This window comes from Homo sapiens, chromosome 4 (assembly GCF_000001405.40).
Source record: "Homo sapiens chromosome 4, GRCh38.p14 Primary Assembly".
Lineage (NCBI taxonomy): Eukaryota > Metazoa > Chordata > Mammalia > Primates > Hominidae > Homo > Homo sapiens.
Genome location: NC_000004.12, coordinates 180,639,704 through 180,659,238, shown reverse-complemented (window position 1 = coordinate 180,659,238; position 19,535 = coordinate 180,639,704). Strand labels below are relative to the sequence as shown.

The 19,535-nt window shown below is 37.1% G+C and overlaps 1 annotated feature.

The window, feature by feature from the left end:
- Positions 18,440 to 19,126: an enhancer, noted in NCBI's record as "OCT4-NANOG hESC enhancer chr4:181561266-181561952 (GRCh37/hg19 assembly coordinates)". NCBI's record gives its function as "activates a minimal SCP1, AML or CMV promoter by ChIP-STARR-seq in naive and primed H9 embryonic stem cells {active_cell/tissue: H9 hESC(naive and primed)}" and the evidence as "EXISTENCE:reporter gene assay evidence [ECO:0000049][PMID:30033119]".

Genomic DNA, 19,535 nt, shown 5'->3' with positions numbered 1-19,535 from the left:
AAGAAACCACGTCTCTACTAAAAACACAAAAATTAGTAGGGCGTGGTGGAGCGCACGTGAAATTCCAGCTACTCAGAGGCTGAGGCAGGAGAATTGCTTGAACCCGGAAGGCGGAGGTTACAGTGAGCCAAGATAGCGCCACTGCACTCCAGCCTGGCAACAGAGCAAAGCTCTATCTCAAAAAACAAAAAAAAAGAAAGAAAGAAAGAGCCTGAGTCTGTGTTCTGAACTCCTATATCCCTCACACTGATATTTTCTGGTCCAGAGAAGGTGCTTAATAAATGGTTCTTAAATAGGTGTAAGATTATTAATAACAAAATATGTAATATTGGTACAATTAAACATTTTAAAGTGATGGTTATCTCTTGTCCACTTCCTCATAAGAGGAAACAAGCCGCTGAAATACCAAGCATTGAAGCGTAAAGCTTAGGGGCATTGGTGGGATGACTGGCATCAAGTCGTTTGGGATATTGACAATGTATGACGATATTCACAATATTGCAATAACTGACAATACATGAAAACATTGATACTAGAAGACAATATTACAATACATGACAGAAAGTCAACCCTGGCAGTTTTCACTGTTGGTGGATTACCTCCAATGTCCAAAATAATATTATTTTGCAATTTGAATTGTTGTTGAGGGGATTAATGACATGATGCATAGCAAGCTTATAATAGAACTATGAATCAGGGTTATCTGATTCCCACATGTTGGAGAAGGTTACTAAGCTATTGAGCAAATCCAGTCAATACCAAAACCATCATCTGTATTCCAGTCATAATTTGAGACTTCACAATGGTGTCAGGAATTCTGTTTAAATATCAAGAATATATTGACACTGAAAAAAGAGATGAAGTGACTGATATGAAAGAAACCCTCTCACCCCATTACTTTATTTCCTTACTCTGTTTCACATTTCTTCCTAGTACTTAATATTTGTTTATTTCCTGATTTTGTCTATCACCACAATGAAGGTAATTTTAATGACAGCTTATTTCATTCTGTATCCGCGGTTCCATGAAAAGTGCTTGGCACAAAAGAGGAACTAAATAAGATGGCAACGAATGAGTACATGAGTAGGTGTTTAATGAATATAGGCTTAATAAAGGAAGAATCAGCAAGGTAGGTGTGGGCCCGTCATTCATCATTTGTTAGAAAGTGGGCGAAGATACTTGGAAGGATGTTTTAAAAGCTGGCACAAGGCTGTAATGAGCAGGAGGAACTCGGCGGGGAGGGTATCTAGAGTTTATGATACTCACACTGTACTGCTATACTCCACATCACACCCAGATACTCTAGAGTAAGATCCAGGAAGGAGGACTGAGGCTACATGAAGCCAGGTGAGAAAGAAAGAAGCCCACTGGCCATTTCTTTAACACTAAGGAAGCTCATTCTATTGATGAACATTCAGCCATACAGTAAAGGAATATAGAGGATTTGCATTTTTCTCTGGTAAGAGATGAAAGTTCTCTTTCCCAGCAGGGCTAAAACAAGGGTAAGGCAAATGAAGAACGTGCCTCAGACAGAAAAATGCCCCCTTATATTTTGTATCTCACTCACCTCACCCGTCTCCGCCCTGTTCCACAACTCCTGAGGTTGATTAGCGTAGGTTATATTTATTTTATTTGTTGTTTTCTTGAGACAGGATCTTGCTCTGTGGCCCAGGCTGGATTGCAATGGCATGATCATGCCTCACTGAGCCTCAACCTCCTCGGTTCAAGCCCGAATATCTGGGACTACAGGCCCAGCTAAGTTTTGTATATTTTGTAGAAACGGGGTTTCACCAAAATATATAATAACCAGGTTGCCCAGGCTGGTCTCGAACTCTGGTCTCAAGTGATCTGCCTGCCTCGGCCTCCCAGAGTGCTAGGATTACAGGCATGAGCCACTGCACCTGGCCAGCAGCAGATTATAAAGCACAACTTTGCTGGAGGTCTACCTCTACCTCCTTGAAAGGAACCTAGAATCCATCCAAGGTCTGGGGACAGTAAGGAGTGCCTTTCAGATTTTAAGGCCCTGCACAATACAGAATTCAATCAGCCACTAACTGTCTGAGTGCTTGCTTGGAGTTTATAATATGGGGACATAAGGCTGGTATACGGAGGCTCACCAGGAATCGCTCAATGTGCACTTGAAATTCCATGATAATTAAATGAAAGATTCCAAACTGTAGCCCCAGTTGCACACATTTATCGTGAGGAAAGTGAACACCTAACATTTTCTCCGCAACGCCTGATATCTGCGGATGAACCCTGGATTATTAAATAATGGCCTCAGGCTAGCAAATGAACTACGCACTTTGCCATCTTATTATTATAGTTTGCTTGCCTTAAATAAACTTCAATGTAGACATTCGTGTTCTTATTTGGCTTGGAGAAGATAAGTGTATGAATTTGCGGTGTGGCAACCTTTCTCATTTTCAAAAAGAAACAAAAAACAACCCCAATGTCGCGATTTCACCTTTTGCATACTTCCTTTAAGAACATCCAGTTTCATCACATAATCTACACACTGTCCTCCTCCCACAGAAATGACAGCAGCAATTCTGTGACAGAACATATAAACGTGGGAAAAACATCTGTGTGTATAAATTCTTCCTAGGTGCTCTTGGACTGAACCCAAGAACATAGCACCACAGCAGGCAGATGTAAGCCTATAAAGCATGGTCACAGAAGATAATTGCTGTTAATAATTCATTAAGAACTATTCCTTTCTCTTTCTGGAAACGTATTCACCACTTCAACCATTTTCATCAAGCTTTATAATTGGATGTGGAGAAAGGGCACACAGGATTTTATGAGCAATAACAACTAACATTTGTACAGCATTTTACAATTTGCAAAGCAGTTTTCATAAACATAATTCACTCCTTACTGCCTCAGTAGTAGTTAGGTGTTATTAAGATAATCTACATTTTCCTAATGAGGAATCTGAGTTGGCAAGATTATAAATGTCATTCATGGCTATGGGAGTAAACCCAAATAAAATGTTTGGAATGCACAGAGATTTGTTGTTTACATAAGGAGTAGTCCAAAATTAGGCAGGAGCTAGTGCTGGTTCATTTACCCATTCCACGATGTCAGCTCCAAAGTCTCAGAAATTCTTTCTTGTCCTCATGGCTATGGAATGGCTGCATTCCAGGATGAAGGTGGTGGAAGAGGAAGATAAAGGAGCTCAGAAAAACCAAAGCTTGCCCAGAACTACATGGGAGATCTTTGTCCCTGTCTCGTTTCACAGGCTGTTATGCAGCCACTCCTCTGAAAGGCGGCAATGGAAAGGAGATTAGATGAAACAAGTGCAATCTCTCCTACATAGTATAATGAAATTTTAATTTCCATTCTCTTACTCCAGAGCTCAGTCCTCTCTATCTACAATAGACAACACATCAATGGGAAGGGGGTCTGTGTCTGTATAGTTTGTACACATGCTTTTGTGTTTGCAAATAACTATGAAGCTTATGATATACAGGGGAGATAAGGACTTTGCCATGAGATTGAAAAACATCTAAGTACTTGTTTAAAAAAAAACAAATGAATTGTTGCTTACACTTGAACTTCTTTAATTCTTATTTCAATGCTCCCAGTCATTGAAGAACAATTTGCACCCAAGATTTCCAATACTGTAGCTATATAATTGTAATTCAAGTAATACACATCTATCATTAATCTTTTAACTATATTTGAATTCTTCAATCCCATCTGATTGCAGAACATTTCCAAGTAAATTGCTCACTATCTTAAATTCATTGTATCTAAAACAATGTCCCATGCTGTCTGTAAAACTTCACTTCCAAACCTTCTTAAAATCTTCCCGTGAAGCCACTATACTCATAGAGCTCAATCAAAAAGTGAAGTCACAAGCCAGGCACAGTGGCTCACGTCTGTTATCCTAGCACTCTGGGAGGCTGAGGAAGGAGGATCTCTTGAGGTCAGGAGTTTGAGACCAGCCTAGCCAACACGGGGAAACCCTGTCTCTACTAAAAATACAAATATTAGCTGGGCATGGTAGTGCATGTCTGTAATCCCAGCTACTTGGGAGGCTGAGGTAGGAGAATTTCTTGAACTTGGGAGGCAGAGGTTGCAGTGAGCTAAGGTCATACTACTGCTCTCCAGCCTGAGTGACAGAGCGAGACTTTGTCTCAGAAAAAAAAAAAAGGTGGAAAAAAAAAGTGAAGTCTAATTTGTTGAAAATTCAAGCAACATGCTTTGTGGCCAATATGCTTATTGTTCACTTCCCAGGCATTGTGCTAGGTGCTGTAGCCATAACGGGAAGCAGACTTAACACATTATAGATTTGTTACATTTTCCCTATTTGGGTCCTTATTGCATTAAACACACGTATGTTATTGCAAAAGATTCCACCTTCTTTTTTCCACTCCACATGCTAACAACAGAATCAACTTTCTAAAAGATTGTATCTATTATGCTTGTTTCAGTTTCAATAAATTACAGTGTTTCTGCAGCACCAACAGCTTTCATTTTAAACTGCTATGCTCTTCTGTGCAATAAAGGATTAATCTCACACAGAGAGTGGTCTGGCCTTTGTCCTCAGCTCCTAGGTGGTGATCTCTAGGTCACTACAATGTCCTGCCTGGGATGAGTGTCTCTTTGCTTGGAAGCTTCGCTATAGGACAGTCTAAAAACGTGATTTATGATGGGGGCTTTGGGACACACCAAATCAGCTCCAACCTCCAGAGGAACTGGAGATTAAGTATTGGCTCAAACTTCCAGGAAGGGCTGGAAACCAAAGGTCAGTCATGTGAGCAGTATGTGATATAGCTAGAAGGAAAAGTGGACGCCAGTGGCTTGGGTGGGGGTCCCCAAAGGGTCATGGTCAGAAGAGGTAACTGCCCATAGCTCCATGGCGAGGATGACTGGAAGCCCTTCCTCCTAGAGTATGCATCCCTCCTAGACTGCCCTATTCAGCCTCGTCTTCAGCTGGTTCTAATTTGTATCATTTTTCTGTAATAAACCTGACTGTGCATATATTTGAGCCACAGGGATTTCTATTGCGAGTCCATTTACATGAGGGTTTTTTTCAACAAATGCTCGGCCCCTCCTATCCAACAGGTTCTGCATCCATAACCCAGTGCAGATGAAGAATACAGTATTCCCAGGATAAGAAACCCACAGATACAGAGGGCTGACTTTTTGTATGTGCAAGTTCTGCGGGAGCACTGTGGGGACTTGAGTATGAGTGGATTTTGGTGTCTTCAGGCATCCTGGAACCAATCCCCCATGGATACTGAGGGTCAACTGTAATAGCTTCTGGTGAGCTCTGTGAGTCTTTCTAACAAATTAGCAAATGTGAAGGTGTCAGTGGGGGAACGCCTGACTTTGTACCAGCTGGTATGAAGATGGTCCTGAGACCCTCGAACTTGAGTTGGTGTCTGAAGGGATGGAGTCTGGTGGGGATGGCGCCCTCCGGCTGTGCAGTTTGTTTCTCATTGCATATCCTTTCTGCAAACTCCTGGCTTTCCTCCCCAGGCTTCTCTGCTGCATAGTTCAGTCTTGTTTCTCTTCCTAATATTCTCCCCTTACCCTGGGGTTGTTTATAACCCTTCCCTTCTTTCTCCAAATCTTCCACACTTTCAAGGAAAATGTCAAGTCCTGCCTCCTTCATGAAGCTTCTTTTCACCAGAAGACTAAATGTACATTGATGGAGCCTCAACTAGCAGGTGAGTTTTGTTTTTGTTTTTATAAACAGTAACTTTTATTTGAAGTTTAGGTGTACATGTGCAGGAGGAGCAGGTTTGTTACATAGGTAAACTTGTAACATGGCGTTTGTTGAATACGTTATTTCATCACCCAGGTATTAAGCCTAGTATCATTTAGTAATTTTTCCTGAGCCTCCCCCTCTTCCCACCCTCCACCCACTGATAGGCCCCGGTGTGTGTTGTTCCCATCTATGTGTCCATGTGTTCCCATCCTTTAGCCCCCACTTATAAGTGAGAACATGTGGTCTTTGGTTTTCTCTTCCTCAACTAGCAGATGAGGTTTTAATATCATATACTGTGCTTGGTTTTGCATGTGTTGTAATGTGACCTCATTACAATGTCAACTTCTCAAGATGAGGGAACATGTCTCAATCAGTTGTGTAACCCTCCCCCCATTCCTATTACAAGGCTAGCGGGGTGTTCCATCAGTAATACTCACTTGGCTTCAACATTTCTAAGAACAGATGGAAGCACTCCTCCTTCTGTCCAGAACCAAAATGAGTGTACTCAGACTTGCATTCATTTGCAGTCATCAACGATGGTGACCAGTCTTAAGCTAGCTTTAATACAGGATCCATGTTCTCAAGTCATTATCTGTGACTCAAGAATGGAGTTATAGGGATGCTTTTTTTTTTTTTAATTCTAAGGATTACTATGAGTAAATGAATGCATTCATACTGCCTAACCAAGTTTCTTTTTTAAAAAAATCAACTACACATTTGCTTTGTTATGAGCACAGAGAGTGGCCAAAAACAATACTTGTGGTGATTGACCAATGACTAAAATTAGCTAACTTACCTCTCAAGCTGTTAGGCATCAGGCACTGTCCCAAAGTCCTTCCTGTTGGGGCCTGGGGTGTCTGTATTTGTGACTGCATAGGGGTAAATTTGCTTCACTCCCACAAAAATCTATGAGGGAAGTGCTATCATCATCCTCGTTTTATAGATGAGCAAACTAAGCACAGAGAGTTTAAATAACTAGTCCAAGGAAAACCAGTTACTAAACAGTAGAGGCGGGATCCTATCCCAGGAAGTCCAGACATAGAACCCATGGCTCCATTATGATCGCTTGCTGACTCCTGCCTATTTGTTTAGAGTGCAGCTGGACTGTGCTCCCACACAAGCATACAACCTTGTCACATGGCATTGCCACATACTGATAACCCTTCGTGAGTATAATAAAAGCATGAAAACATATCATTTTCACGTGTGGGGGCATCACACTAGGACTTGTCATCAATGGACGTGAATTGGTGCTGTCTTTCTCACCTGGAGCATGTAAATGTTATTCCCGCCTGAGTGCAGTGGCTCATGTCTATAATCCCAGCCCTTTGGGAGGCCAAGGCGGGCGGATCACTTGAGGTCAGTAGCTCAAGACCAGCCTGGCCAACATGGCGAAACCCCATCTCTACTAAAAATACAAAAATTAGCCGGGCATGGTGGCACACGCCTGTAGTCCCAGCTACTCAGGAGGCTGAGGCAGGAGAATCACTTGAGCCTGGGAGGCAGAGGTTGCAGTGAGCCGAGATCGTGCCACTGGACTCCAGACTGGGAGACAGAGTGAGATTCTGTCTCAAAAAAAAAATTTAAAAAGTGTTTCTGCCAATGTCAGGGGAGGTATCTCATAGCAAGAAACAGGTTGCATCATTTCATTTCAGTTGAGAGGAACAGAAAAATAATATACTGAGCAGTATAAACTTTTGGAACTGAATTTTAATCATTTTATATGGTCTGTCATTTAATGACTCATGGTAATACTATTAACAATATACCATTAAGCGGACACAGGCTTAAAATGGCATGTATAAGTATTAGCCCACTTTTTGCATAGATCAATACATAAATATACATCTTTGAAGGTGTTAACAATGCTTAGCTTTTGGTACCAGTGTTTTTGGTATGTTCCTTTGTTTGTTGCTTGTATTTTCTACACCAATTATCTATAATTAAAATAGATTACTTTACCCCAAAACCAATTGATATAGTTTTACGTTAATCTGAACAGATAAGCCCAAATTAAAAATACATATATAAACATCTTCAATTGAACTCAAGTGGCCAAAAAAAGCGATGTTTTAAAACATACACACATAAGATGCTGTATTTTTTAGATGTCTTGTTTTAAAATTACTTCTGAAACATATTTTTTCAAATACAAAAGGAGACAGAAGGAGTTTACTAAATGTTGGTTTCAAACCAACCAGCTATATGAAGTCAAAACCATGCTTTTTACTTCTTTAGATAAGATACCTAATTATGTACTTACATTCAAATTAAATTCATGGTCAAGCTCTATTGCTCCATTAGTAGTTTCAGAGAATAAGTTACAGAGATGGTCATGTGAGCAGATACCGACAGAAGGAAAAGGAGGAGGAGGCATGGGACAAGGAGGAGGAGGAAGACAAGAAGTCACTGTGGTCTATAAACCGTAACTTAGGATGTGTGGAGCAAATTTTACTTTCCACATTAAACCAAAACCAAAGTTAAAATAATTCTATTTTACATTAGAAATTCCACAGCCTTGGTATTAAGGAAGCTTTTTCTTTATGGTATTTTCATTCATTTCATTTCAAAAATTTGTTCCAAAGGCCTATATTAAGTTATCTGCTACTCCATAGTAATTAACTTATGATTTTACTCTCCTATGCTATAGAAAGGACCCAGGACAAGAAGATTACTTCAGTGCCGGAAAGAGGCGACTTTCAAACAAAGGAACATGTCTCTGAAGGGGAACTTCTATGCACTTCAAAACTGTGCCTGGAATTTGCTATACTCAACGGCCCAGTGACATTGCGTATGTCTCAATTTTGTGGTGATACAGTTGGTGTCAAAATCCAATTTGGACATGCAGAAATTCGTTTCTATGATTTACTCTAAGCCCAAAGTCAGGAATTTGTTTTCTACTGAGGGATGCTGACACATGGGAGAAAGACAGATTACAGGGCTCAACGAGATATATACACTATCCACTCCTGAGAGAAAAAGAGACAAAGAGGGAGAGCCAGGCACTGTGATAGGAAATGGAAACCGATATTCAAGGGGAAAGCACCCGTCTTCTGACCTACTCATTAACAGCTGTTCTAAGCTGTTTGGTGTAGCTTGGGCAACAACAGAGTTCTCATTTGAACATTTTCCTTCATTTGATTTCACAGATTGCTTACAGCTTATTTTCATCATCATTCTAAAATAGTTGACAAATCTCAATATCAGTCTGTGATTTTTGCTTCTTTAGGAAGCATTGATCATTTTAATTCTAAAAAGAGAAGCCACGCAAGTTAGGCAAACGCCTTTTATTGTGAAACATCTTACCAAACAAGGACAATTTTGTTGATTATTTATCACTATTGGTGTTTAAACAATATTAGTTATAAAAAACACTTGACCTCAAAAATTATTTTGTCTGTTTACTCTGAATATATATGCATATATATTTACTCTGAAAGTATATATATGCATATATACTCTGAAATTATACATATATATGCGCATATATATATACTCTGAAAGTATATATATACTTTCATATGTGTATATATATGCGCATATATATGTATATATATATAAAATGAAAGGGTTGCAGGCCAAGAATAAACCAGACTAATCATTTGTACTCAATGAATTGCTGGTATAAGTGGTAATATAGTTTTAATAAGATATTCAAATATCTAGAATTTTAATATAAAACATTTTATTCATAATTTTTCTGCTTAAAAAGTCTAAGCCCTCTATTTCTTGATCTGAGAAATTATGCATCATTCCTGACTGAATTTTGAATTATTTGTGAATTCTTATAGCATAACTTGAATGGCAAATGACAAGAAAGCAACTCTTGAGAAAAAGGAAAAATGCATACCTAATAGGCAAACCCAATGTTTCTATCATGATGACAAAAGGGGCTGTCATTGACTCATGTACAGAATATAAGTAGCAAAATTCTGGGCTTTTCTTACTTCTTAAATCTTGAAATGTACACTGAATGTTGACTTGGAAACTGTTCCAGACTGTTTGATTGATATGTATCACCTGTTGATCCACGTTCTTCCCTCTATTCTTCCTTCTTGTATCTGCATTGTATACCATGCTTACTGAAGAAAAAACTTTTTGAAAATCAAGTGTTTGGGTACTAATAACAAATACTCTAGATAATACTTAAAATTCAGAATAATTTCAATATAACTACCAATAATTTAAAATATTTTGTAGTTTATAATGTGTTTTCACATACTCTTCCACCTTATTATCTCCATTTTATTAATGGGGAAGTTGCTGAAACTATGAAAGTTATATATATATTTTTTTCAGACGGAGTCTTGCTCTGTCTCCCATGCTGGAGTACAGTGGTGCGATTCCAACTCACTGCAACCTCTGCCTCTTGGGCTTAAGCAATTCTTCCTGCCTTAGCCTCCTGAGGGGCTGGGATTCCAGGCATCTGCAACCTTACCCAGCTAATTTTTGTATTTTTAGTAGAAGTGGGGTTTCACCATGTTAGCCAGGCTGGTCTTGAACTCCTGACCTCAGGTGATCCACCTGCCTCAGCCTCCCAAAATGTTGGGATTACAGGCAGGAGCTACTGCTCCTGGCCTATACTTACCTTCTCTTAAACAAAGGCATAACTTTTTTAACAAGCCATAGTACCTTACAAATGCTAATATGATGTTTGATTTCTACTTCAAGACTTCTTGGAAAATGAAAAATATGCCCAGGCATATGGAAAAAGTATCAACAGATTTCACTTATGAGTGGAACTCCTTCAAACACCACACAGTCCTCTAACATTTAAATAGCAGTCATCAATTTATATTAAATAACACTTAAGGACCAAGTAAAATGAAATTATTAAAATGGTTCTAATTAAGCCCATCTTTACTAATTCATATAATATTAAAATTAATTTAGCTGCCAATTAAAATAGCAATTGTATTCTACAATGATTTCTTTTCAAAACAATTTATTTAACTTAATAATAATTTGGAGAAACAGTCATATGCTGTACTAAAAAAGGTATTAAAATGGAGGAACAGTTACCCCTTTGGGAGAAGAAAGGAACATGTATTGATTTTATACCTTTACCCCAAGAAAGTAACTTTCCATTGCTTGATATTTTTTTCAGAAATTATTTGTCTTGTCATTTTTATGACATACAGAGGCTTAATGCAAACTGTCAAAAGAAACAATTCCACAAGAACACTGCCTTTTTCCACTTTTCATCATAAACTGCTATTTGCCTCAACTAAATTAAATTTCTCTTGAGTTCATGAATCAGTCTAGGTGCTTCATTCTTTATTTGATTCAATGAAGAATGCCTATCTCCTCCATCAGTCCCCATAATTTGTTTGAAAAGGACTTTGCATAACAAATGAAAATAACTTTATTACTTGATCAGTAGAGGCAGTATTCAATTTATATAATAAAATTAAAGGTGAGAAAATAATTTTCTGCACACTTTCTATAGTGGCTTTCTCAATAGGAGTCTTCAACCTTCAAACACCTTCACAGTAGCGATTTGGACATTTGTCACTCACGGATTTTAAGGTAATATTCTTTCCCTTAGTAATCATTATGACTTAATCCAAGATCTTTCTTTTTTTTATTTTTTTTATTATACTTTAAGTTTTAGGGTACATGTGCACATTGTGCAGGTTAGTTACATATCTTTCTTCTCAATGTCGCAAACCTTTAGGAGGGCTACAGTTTGCAAAAAAAATTTATTTTAAAATGGAGAAAAAATCTTTATATAATGTAAAATTAAAAGCAATACTCAATATTGGTGTATCAAATGATTAATCATTTGGCATGTACCTACAATTAAAAAGTTGAGAAAAAGCTCAATACATGATTAATTAGTACTTGCTATTCAAGACACTTTATAGAAATAAATGAAGATAACATTGCAATGAATATTTGGAATTATATAGATGATATTAAACAAAAAATAAGCTAAGAACATCCTGTTTGATTTTACTAAAATTTAGCTTCCAAATGAATGAAGGTTTTTTTTAATGGAAAGTCAATGATTCTTACAATTTACATACAGAAACAATGAATAATAAATGATAATGATGATGTGAAACTGTCGAACAACAGAGCTCTGGCTTTCTTTTTCACGCAATTCCATTTTCTAAGCTTTCCAAAATAATAAAATGTACAAACTCAATAGGATGACTGAATACTCTAAGATGTAACAAAATACCCATGGCTGATTAAAGGCAAATTTGCTCTAATCATGTGTCTGCACTTATCAGAATGAAGTCTAAACAATATGCAGTATATCTTGACCAGAAAACAAATATGAAAAGCTCCACTACACATTGTGGCAGATGAGATTTTCTGAGTGGTAATTCTGATATTTGATGTATGCTCTTTATTCTTTCCAAATAACTTTGATTCTGTGCCAGCCAAGATATAGCCCTGGAAAAAAAAAATACTTCAAAGCACTAAAATGCTGAAAGAATCTTCAGTGTCAAGTAGAAAACAAAATTGTGTCCATATGCCTTACAAATAGTTTTTATTTCAAATCCATACAAAACAAAGTCTCAATCTTGTTAAACCTATGAGATGTGCAGGTATTTATTGGTGTTCTTTACATGTAATGCTAATTGATCACATTTGATTAACTTTCAATACAATTTTTATGTTGAAATGGAATTTAAATAAGTCATAGAAAGATCACCGATCAGGATTTGTCCTTTTCTTCCTTCACAATTAATTCAGATTTTTAAAAACCCAATTATCACATATTGCCAGGGAAATGAAGAAGATATTCAGGAAAGAATGTAGGCAAATAACTGCTCTGGTTACATGCTTAAAAAAAGATGAATTTGATATGTGTATGTCACTCTAAAAGGGTCAGGAAATTGTTGAGGGAATTCAAACAAAAAATATATTTTTACAATAATTTACTAGACATTCCAGTTAAACATGTCTAAGATTCTATTTGTTTTTGAAAATTATAACTTATATTTTATACTTCATTTGACTCATACATGCTTAACTTAAGAGAAAACCTCATGAGAGTTTTAAAAGTTGAACTCTGGATGACGTAAGCCATAATATGTGTTCTTCTATGTGGCATCAGTTTTCTAACCATTTTAGAATACCTGAATACATATGAAATTGTGCTTTAGGTTGGAATTATTCCAATAGTTTTCTTAAATCCTCACTCACACATAAAATCATGACCATGGTTACATAATCTAAAGATTGTTACTAATAATCTCAAAAAAAGTTGGGAAATATTAGGAAATAATATATAATATAACCCTTTATAATATAAAATAATCCTTTCTTTACCCCTTCTTGTGATGTTTGGCCATAGAGTCAATGTTATCATCACAGTAATACAGGACAGTTGGCCAAATACAATAATCCAGTGATATCATTAGCTGTTAACAATTCCAGCGTGGTTTATGGCACAGTGTAAGATGAGAAGACAAAAAGTGTTTGCTCTTGGATGAACCTGTGAGCCAGCCACAGAAAAAATGGAGAAAGGACACTATTGGCAATTTATTTGTGGCCTGAGTTGCTCTCTTTTCTCTGTCCAAATATGAATGGGAATAAGTCCCACAGTTGAATATTTTAATATATTGGGTGCATAGAAGAAACAAGGAGAGAATTGAGGGGATAAAGCAAGCCACGTTTGGACTGTCAGTGCAACCTTACATCATGGCCAGCTCTACGGGCTCTGTGATTTTCTCCTTGGAAAATGATAAGGGTAAATAAAACAGAAGTGTAGTTTCAGGGGCCTGTCATCAAGTAATTTGGGATTTGTCTGGCTGTTACTTGTTTCTGAAGGAGCAAATGGCAGTGGATAGGCACACATCAAAATTTTGAGCACCTTGTGGCTGTAACATTGAAACTTAATCCAAAAAAGATGAGAACAAAATAAATCCAGGTGCTGTTGTTGGCACGGTAACACCTGGAAACTATTCAAATCTGTATTGGTACATCGACTTTTGAAGGTCCATTTTCAGCTTTATAAACTCTAGATGGTGCAGGTTTACCTTTTCTTCCATTCCTATCTCACACTTATAAAAACGAGGATGAGTTATGAAAAAATAACTTAAAATGTGTAAAGTGCTTTTAGCACTTAGGTGCTAAAAGAGTCTTCAAATCTACACCAGATCCCACCCCCATTCCCAATTGACTTTTGATGATAAACATACCGTTACGACATTTAGCTAATAAATTTTCATGCGTCATGAATTTATGGTAGGCTGTACAATAAAAGTAACCATTCAAAGCCAACCACTCTAAAACAAATGATGACACCAATTTTTGCTAATTCTTTGAATTTCTTTGTAAGGAAAACAACAGGGAATGCACAAAGAATACTTTCGGGTGATTTATTAATCCAGGTGCTTACTTTCAAAATAAGTAAAGTCAGCCAAAAAAATGTTTGGTACTACTAATATATATTGAAGCAAGAAAGCAAAAGTAAACTAATTTAAGATAAACAGTATGCATACGTTTCTGAGATCTGCAGAGAGCCCTAGATATATAACAATTTTATAATATATTTGACACATATGTTCAGGACCCTTTTCCTGACTACTTGAAATAATCAAGTGTTTGCGGTAATCACAGTTTAACTGATAATTTTAAAGTTTTAAAATAATTTAAAATACACATTTATATCAGAAGTTAAAGAGTTGCTAAAGTGGTTCTAAAATAGTGTTTATATTTACTATATTCATATTTGATGGGGTTAAAATCCACATAGAAATCTTCTTTCTAATAAAAATTCCTATGGCTTGGAGTTCAAAATCTAGTCTTAATTTTATTTTTATTTAACTTTTATTCTACTATTTCATTTTCTGGAGTTCTTTTTTTCTTCCTTCTAATTTCATTTTCTTTATTGCTTTAGTATGCCATTACTGACCAAACATTTGAAACTAGAAAAATTTCACCCAATACATATCAGGGCATTTTCATGCTAAAATGTAATATTTACCAACAAGAAAATTGTGCAGAACCTTTACATAAAGGTGAAATCTTCAGAGGCTTTAGATTGTCACTCTTATGGAATCAGACAGTGCAGATGGTTGACAAAGTTCTCATCAAACCTGGGTACAAAACACCCTATGTAGCTGCATTTTTGCAAACAGCACACGTAAGTGGAAACAAAACAGCTCTATTATTTTAATTTTTGAATTCTTACTGATTATTTAGCAACATCAATGTTATAAATAACAAAATGATATTATATTATTTGAATCAAGAAAAACTCAACTATATATCACTTTGGATTTTTGAAGTAATCATAGACTATTGTTTTAATTTCCAGAAATTGCATAAGTTCTTTAACTACTAAGATATGCTTTATATATTCTCCAGAAACAATGAGGTACAAACAGAATTCATTAAACTACTTGCATATAAAGCCTGTAATACCACGAATTTCTTTTAATAAATATGATAATCTTAAGTTAAAAATACTTGATTTAGTGTCTGTCTTCACCAAACACTTATCACTATGGCCTGAACAGGTATGACTTCTGTTCAGAATAGGATAGATTATTCTTCCTGAACTACATGATATTTTAAATTTTATTATTAACTAACGGCATATATGATATGATTCTCAATTCTATAGCTAAAGTTAAGGAATCTTGCCTCCAAATTGGAGAAGTTTATTCATTCACAGAGGCGTTATTTGTTTTCATACGTGTCAAATAGTTAGATAGGGACTATGCTCATTTTATATGATAGTTCTTAGAAGTACATCCAAATGGTTGTCTACAGATGGGATACAATTCCAGAGAATTCATTAGCTGTTCAGCACAATTCTAATATTTCTTACTCAACATACAACTTATTTATTCCATCAATATAACACATTGAATTGATTTATTCAGGAGAATTGAATTATATCTCATAACCCAGAATTTTTCAGCAACTACCCATGTAAGCTTTAAGTATGTTAGAGAAATAAATTTTACCTTAAAACATATATATCAAAACTGAACTTCTGTACTGCTCTAATTTTTTTTATTCTGTGCATGCTAAGCTAAGCATAGAGCTTTTTTTTTTTTTTTTTTTTCTTTTTCCTGAGACAGGGTCTCGCTGTAGTTGCGGAGGCTGAAGTGCAGGCTGGAGTGAAGTGGCGCAATCACGGCTCCTGCAGCCTCCACCTACCAGGCTCACAGGATCCTCCCACCTGGGCGTCCTAATCAGCTAGGCTGGGACTACAGGCACATACCACCACTCCTGCTAATTTCATTTTTTTTTTAATTTTTTTTTTGAGACAGTCTCCCTATGTTGCCCAGGCTGGTCTCGAACTCCTGGCCTCAAGCAATCCTCCTGCCTTGGCCTCCTGAGTAGCTGGGATGACAAGTACATGCCACCACACACAGCTATTACTTTTTTTTTTTTTTTTTGTCTATCCTGCCTCAGCCTCCTGAAGTGCTGGTATTACAGATGTGAGCCATCACCCACTTGGCCTTTTTTTTTTTAAGTGTGAATTAGATAATCAGGAAACAAAAACAAATTGGAAAAAAACCCTGATATTTATCAGACCGTATAATTTTCTAAAGTTGCTCTTGCTCGGAATCAACAAGTGGCAAAATCAACAAGTGGCAGAATAATCAGATGGAAGAAAGAGCCGATAGGTAGGCAGAGTTAAAAATTTTACCCCAAACACCTTTTTCTTTGTGGTCGCCTATAGCTGGTACTGCTTAGCTTTCCCAGGGAGCCTGTCTGCGCGGGGCACTGTCCTCTTCCATGGAGAGGACTAAACGCGTCTGTAGGAGAGAGAAAGCCTAGCCAGAAAAGCCTTACAGGAGGCCGGGTGCGGTGGCTCACGCCTGTAATCCCTCCAAGCCTTTGATAGGCGGAGGCAGGTGGATCACCTGAGCTCAGGGGTTGGAGACCACCCTGGACAACATGGCGAAACCCCTAAAAATAAACAAAAAACAAACAAAAAAATACACACACACAAAATAAATTAGCCGGGCGTGGCGGCAGGTGCCTGTAATCCCAGCTACTCGGGAGGCTGAGGCAGGAGAAGCACTTGAACCCGGGAGGCGGAGCTTGCAGTGAGCCGAGATCGCACCACTGCGTTCCAGCCTGGGTGACAGAGCGAGACACTGTCTCCAAAACCAACACCATCATCACCACCACCACCAACAACAAAAACACAAGAAAAGGAAAAAAAGAAAAGCCTTACGAGAGAGTCAGGCAGAATTGGGGGATTTTACCACAAAAATGATCGCTAGTGAGACTCTCTCTTCATAGAATTGATTTTGAGGTAACCTGGAGCTCCTTGTCCAATAATGGCGTCCCCTCATTAGAAAATACACTTATTCCTAGGATGTTTTCTCTGTTCAATTCATTTCTGGAGCTCCTCTTTGGGAACTGACGTCAGAGTCAATTTAGGACCCACATAAGAAAATCCGTTCTCATTAGTGTAAGGTCAAGCCTCAGACATCAAAACAGTGTAGCCTCTTGGGTCCCGTCAACTTTGACGATAAATGATGCCACACGGCTCTGAATCTCTTTGGCTCTGTTTATACTGGTTAGAAATTGAACATGTACAACCACTATTAGTGGTCAGGTAAGCAAAAATCTTTCCTTCGACTTATTTCACAATTGCTTAAGTGTCTTCAAACTGAAAATGTGACTCTTGTAACGTTTTAAACTCATGGATTTATATTTTACAATTCTATGCGTAATTTTAGCCATGCTGTAAACACCATAAACATTATTTCCAATTTTAAATAATATAAATTATTACATTATGCAAGGAACTTCCCTATAATAGTGTGATGTGAAATTAGCAATAATTATTTGCAACTCCATAATCTCACCAAATGGTGGCACATGTACCGTGTTTTCTGTAGACTGAGACTTGTGAGTTTCATTCCTAGTACGACTTGGCATTAGCTGCTTCTATAATATTTCCTTGCATTTTATAAAATCATTTGAACTCCTCTAAAGGTTTCAACATCAAATTTTATGTTTTATTTTAATCATCAATAACTATGTAGCTCTCACCTTTATTTGCATTTTGTAATAAAATTTGAATTTTCTACAAAAGGATCTGTTCAGTATTAGCAAGGACACAATGGCAGTCTTTCTGGCAGGGTAATGAACTTGAAAAATTAGCATTTTTTTCTCTATTGCAATGATTTTATGTATCTCTTAATTTATTCAACAATCGTTTATTCATGAAATATTTACTGAGTACTTGCAACGTGTCAGGCAGCATGCTAGGCATTTGCAATAAAACTGTAAACGAGACAGACACAGCCACCTACTTCATGGACCTACAGGAAAAACAGACTGGTCAAGGTGTTTCATCATGTTCAGATATATATATATATATATATATATATATATAAAAAATATATATTATATATATCTGATAATATATAACTATTATCTTTAGGGCATGCTTCATCCAGTACATGTTAAACATGGTTTAATGGAGTTGTTTTTTGTTTGTTTGTTTTTAGCTACTACATTGCATAATAAATCCCATGCTAGTTAATCCAAAATTATTAGTAAGAAAATCAGGTGAAGAAATTAGAATGCAGGTGAGATAGTGATAATGTCTGGGTTTTTTGAGGTCTTTGATCTTAAGTAAGTAACAAGCTTTCTAAGTCTATGTTTTCTCATCTGTAAAATGGGGTTAAGAACCTGTATCCCTGGGGTAAATCTTATATATGAAAATCTCATATATATATATATAAAATATATACTTAGAAAGCATTATCACATGTATGTAACATGTACTAGATGAAGCATGCCCTAAAGATAATAGTAGATTTTGGAACCCCAGATTTGGCTTTGGACAAGTTATTGAAGTTAACGATTGATTTCAGTACTCTCATTTGTATTTTACACACTGTATTTTATATTGTATTCTCTCAATATTTCATAATGTTGGATTGGTTGAAATATTGAGTGGAAATAACTACAGAGGTATAAAACACAGAGTTAGCACTTCATAAATGGTAACTAAACAATTCCATAATGTCACCACTGGTCCCTTCTTCCCCTTGCTTAGAACATTGCTTCTTCAATGCTGCAAGTCACTTTGAAGCAAACTTCCTTCATTTATGGAAGAATCATCTGACTGTCTCCTTTAGTTATGTAGATGTGAAGCAATTGGAAGCAATTAGAATCTTCTTTCTTTTTTCTTTTGGGTCTAGCCCGCCAGGAGCCCAACCGTGTAGACATGAGGTTGTGTTTGTGGTTGCACATCCTTTGCTCTCTGGAAGCTTTGCTTTTGTCTTAAAGAAGAGGCTGGAGCTAAATTTGCCTGGGCATCAGTCTTCAGGGAGGAAAGCATTCATAAACCAACTCCTATCTCTTTGAATTCAAAATGCTTAAGCCTCGTTTCTTCCATTGGTCTTGACAGAAGTGAATCGTTAGTAAAACACAGGCAGAGTTTGTGAGAGTATCCAAAAAAAAAAAAAAAGAAAAAGAAAGAAAGAAGGATCTCAGATATCCCAGACCAGTGACCAATGACCAAGGTTCAGCATCCAGACAGAAAATGTGTCTGAAGAGAACCACTTCTGGAAACATCATGTACCCCCTCTAGAGATGCCTTTGTCACTCTGGGTGTGCCCCAGGGAAGTAGACTTGAGTGTGTTTCTGTGAAAGCTGTGTCACTGGGTGCTGCAGGATTGGCAGTCCAGGCTCACTGCCTTGGTATCAGGAGACTGTTGGAGACCTCCAGAGGGAATGCTTTCAGCAAAAAGATGGAACATCAGTCCATCTTTTTTAAATGATGAAAAATAGGACTGACCCTTTGGACTGGACGTGTACTTTGGAAATTTGGGTGGACACAAGAACCTTAGGAAAGGAAAGT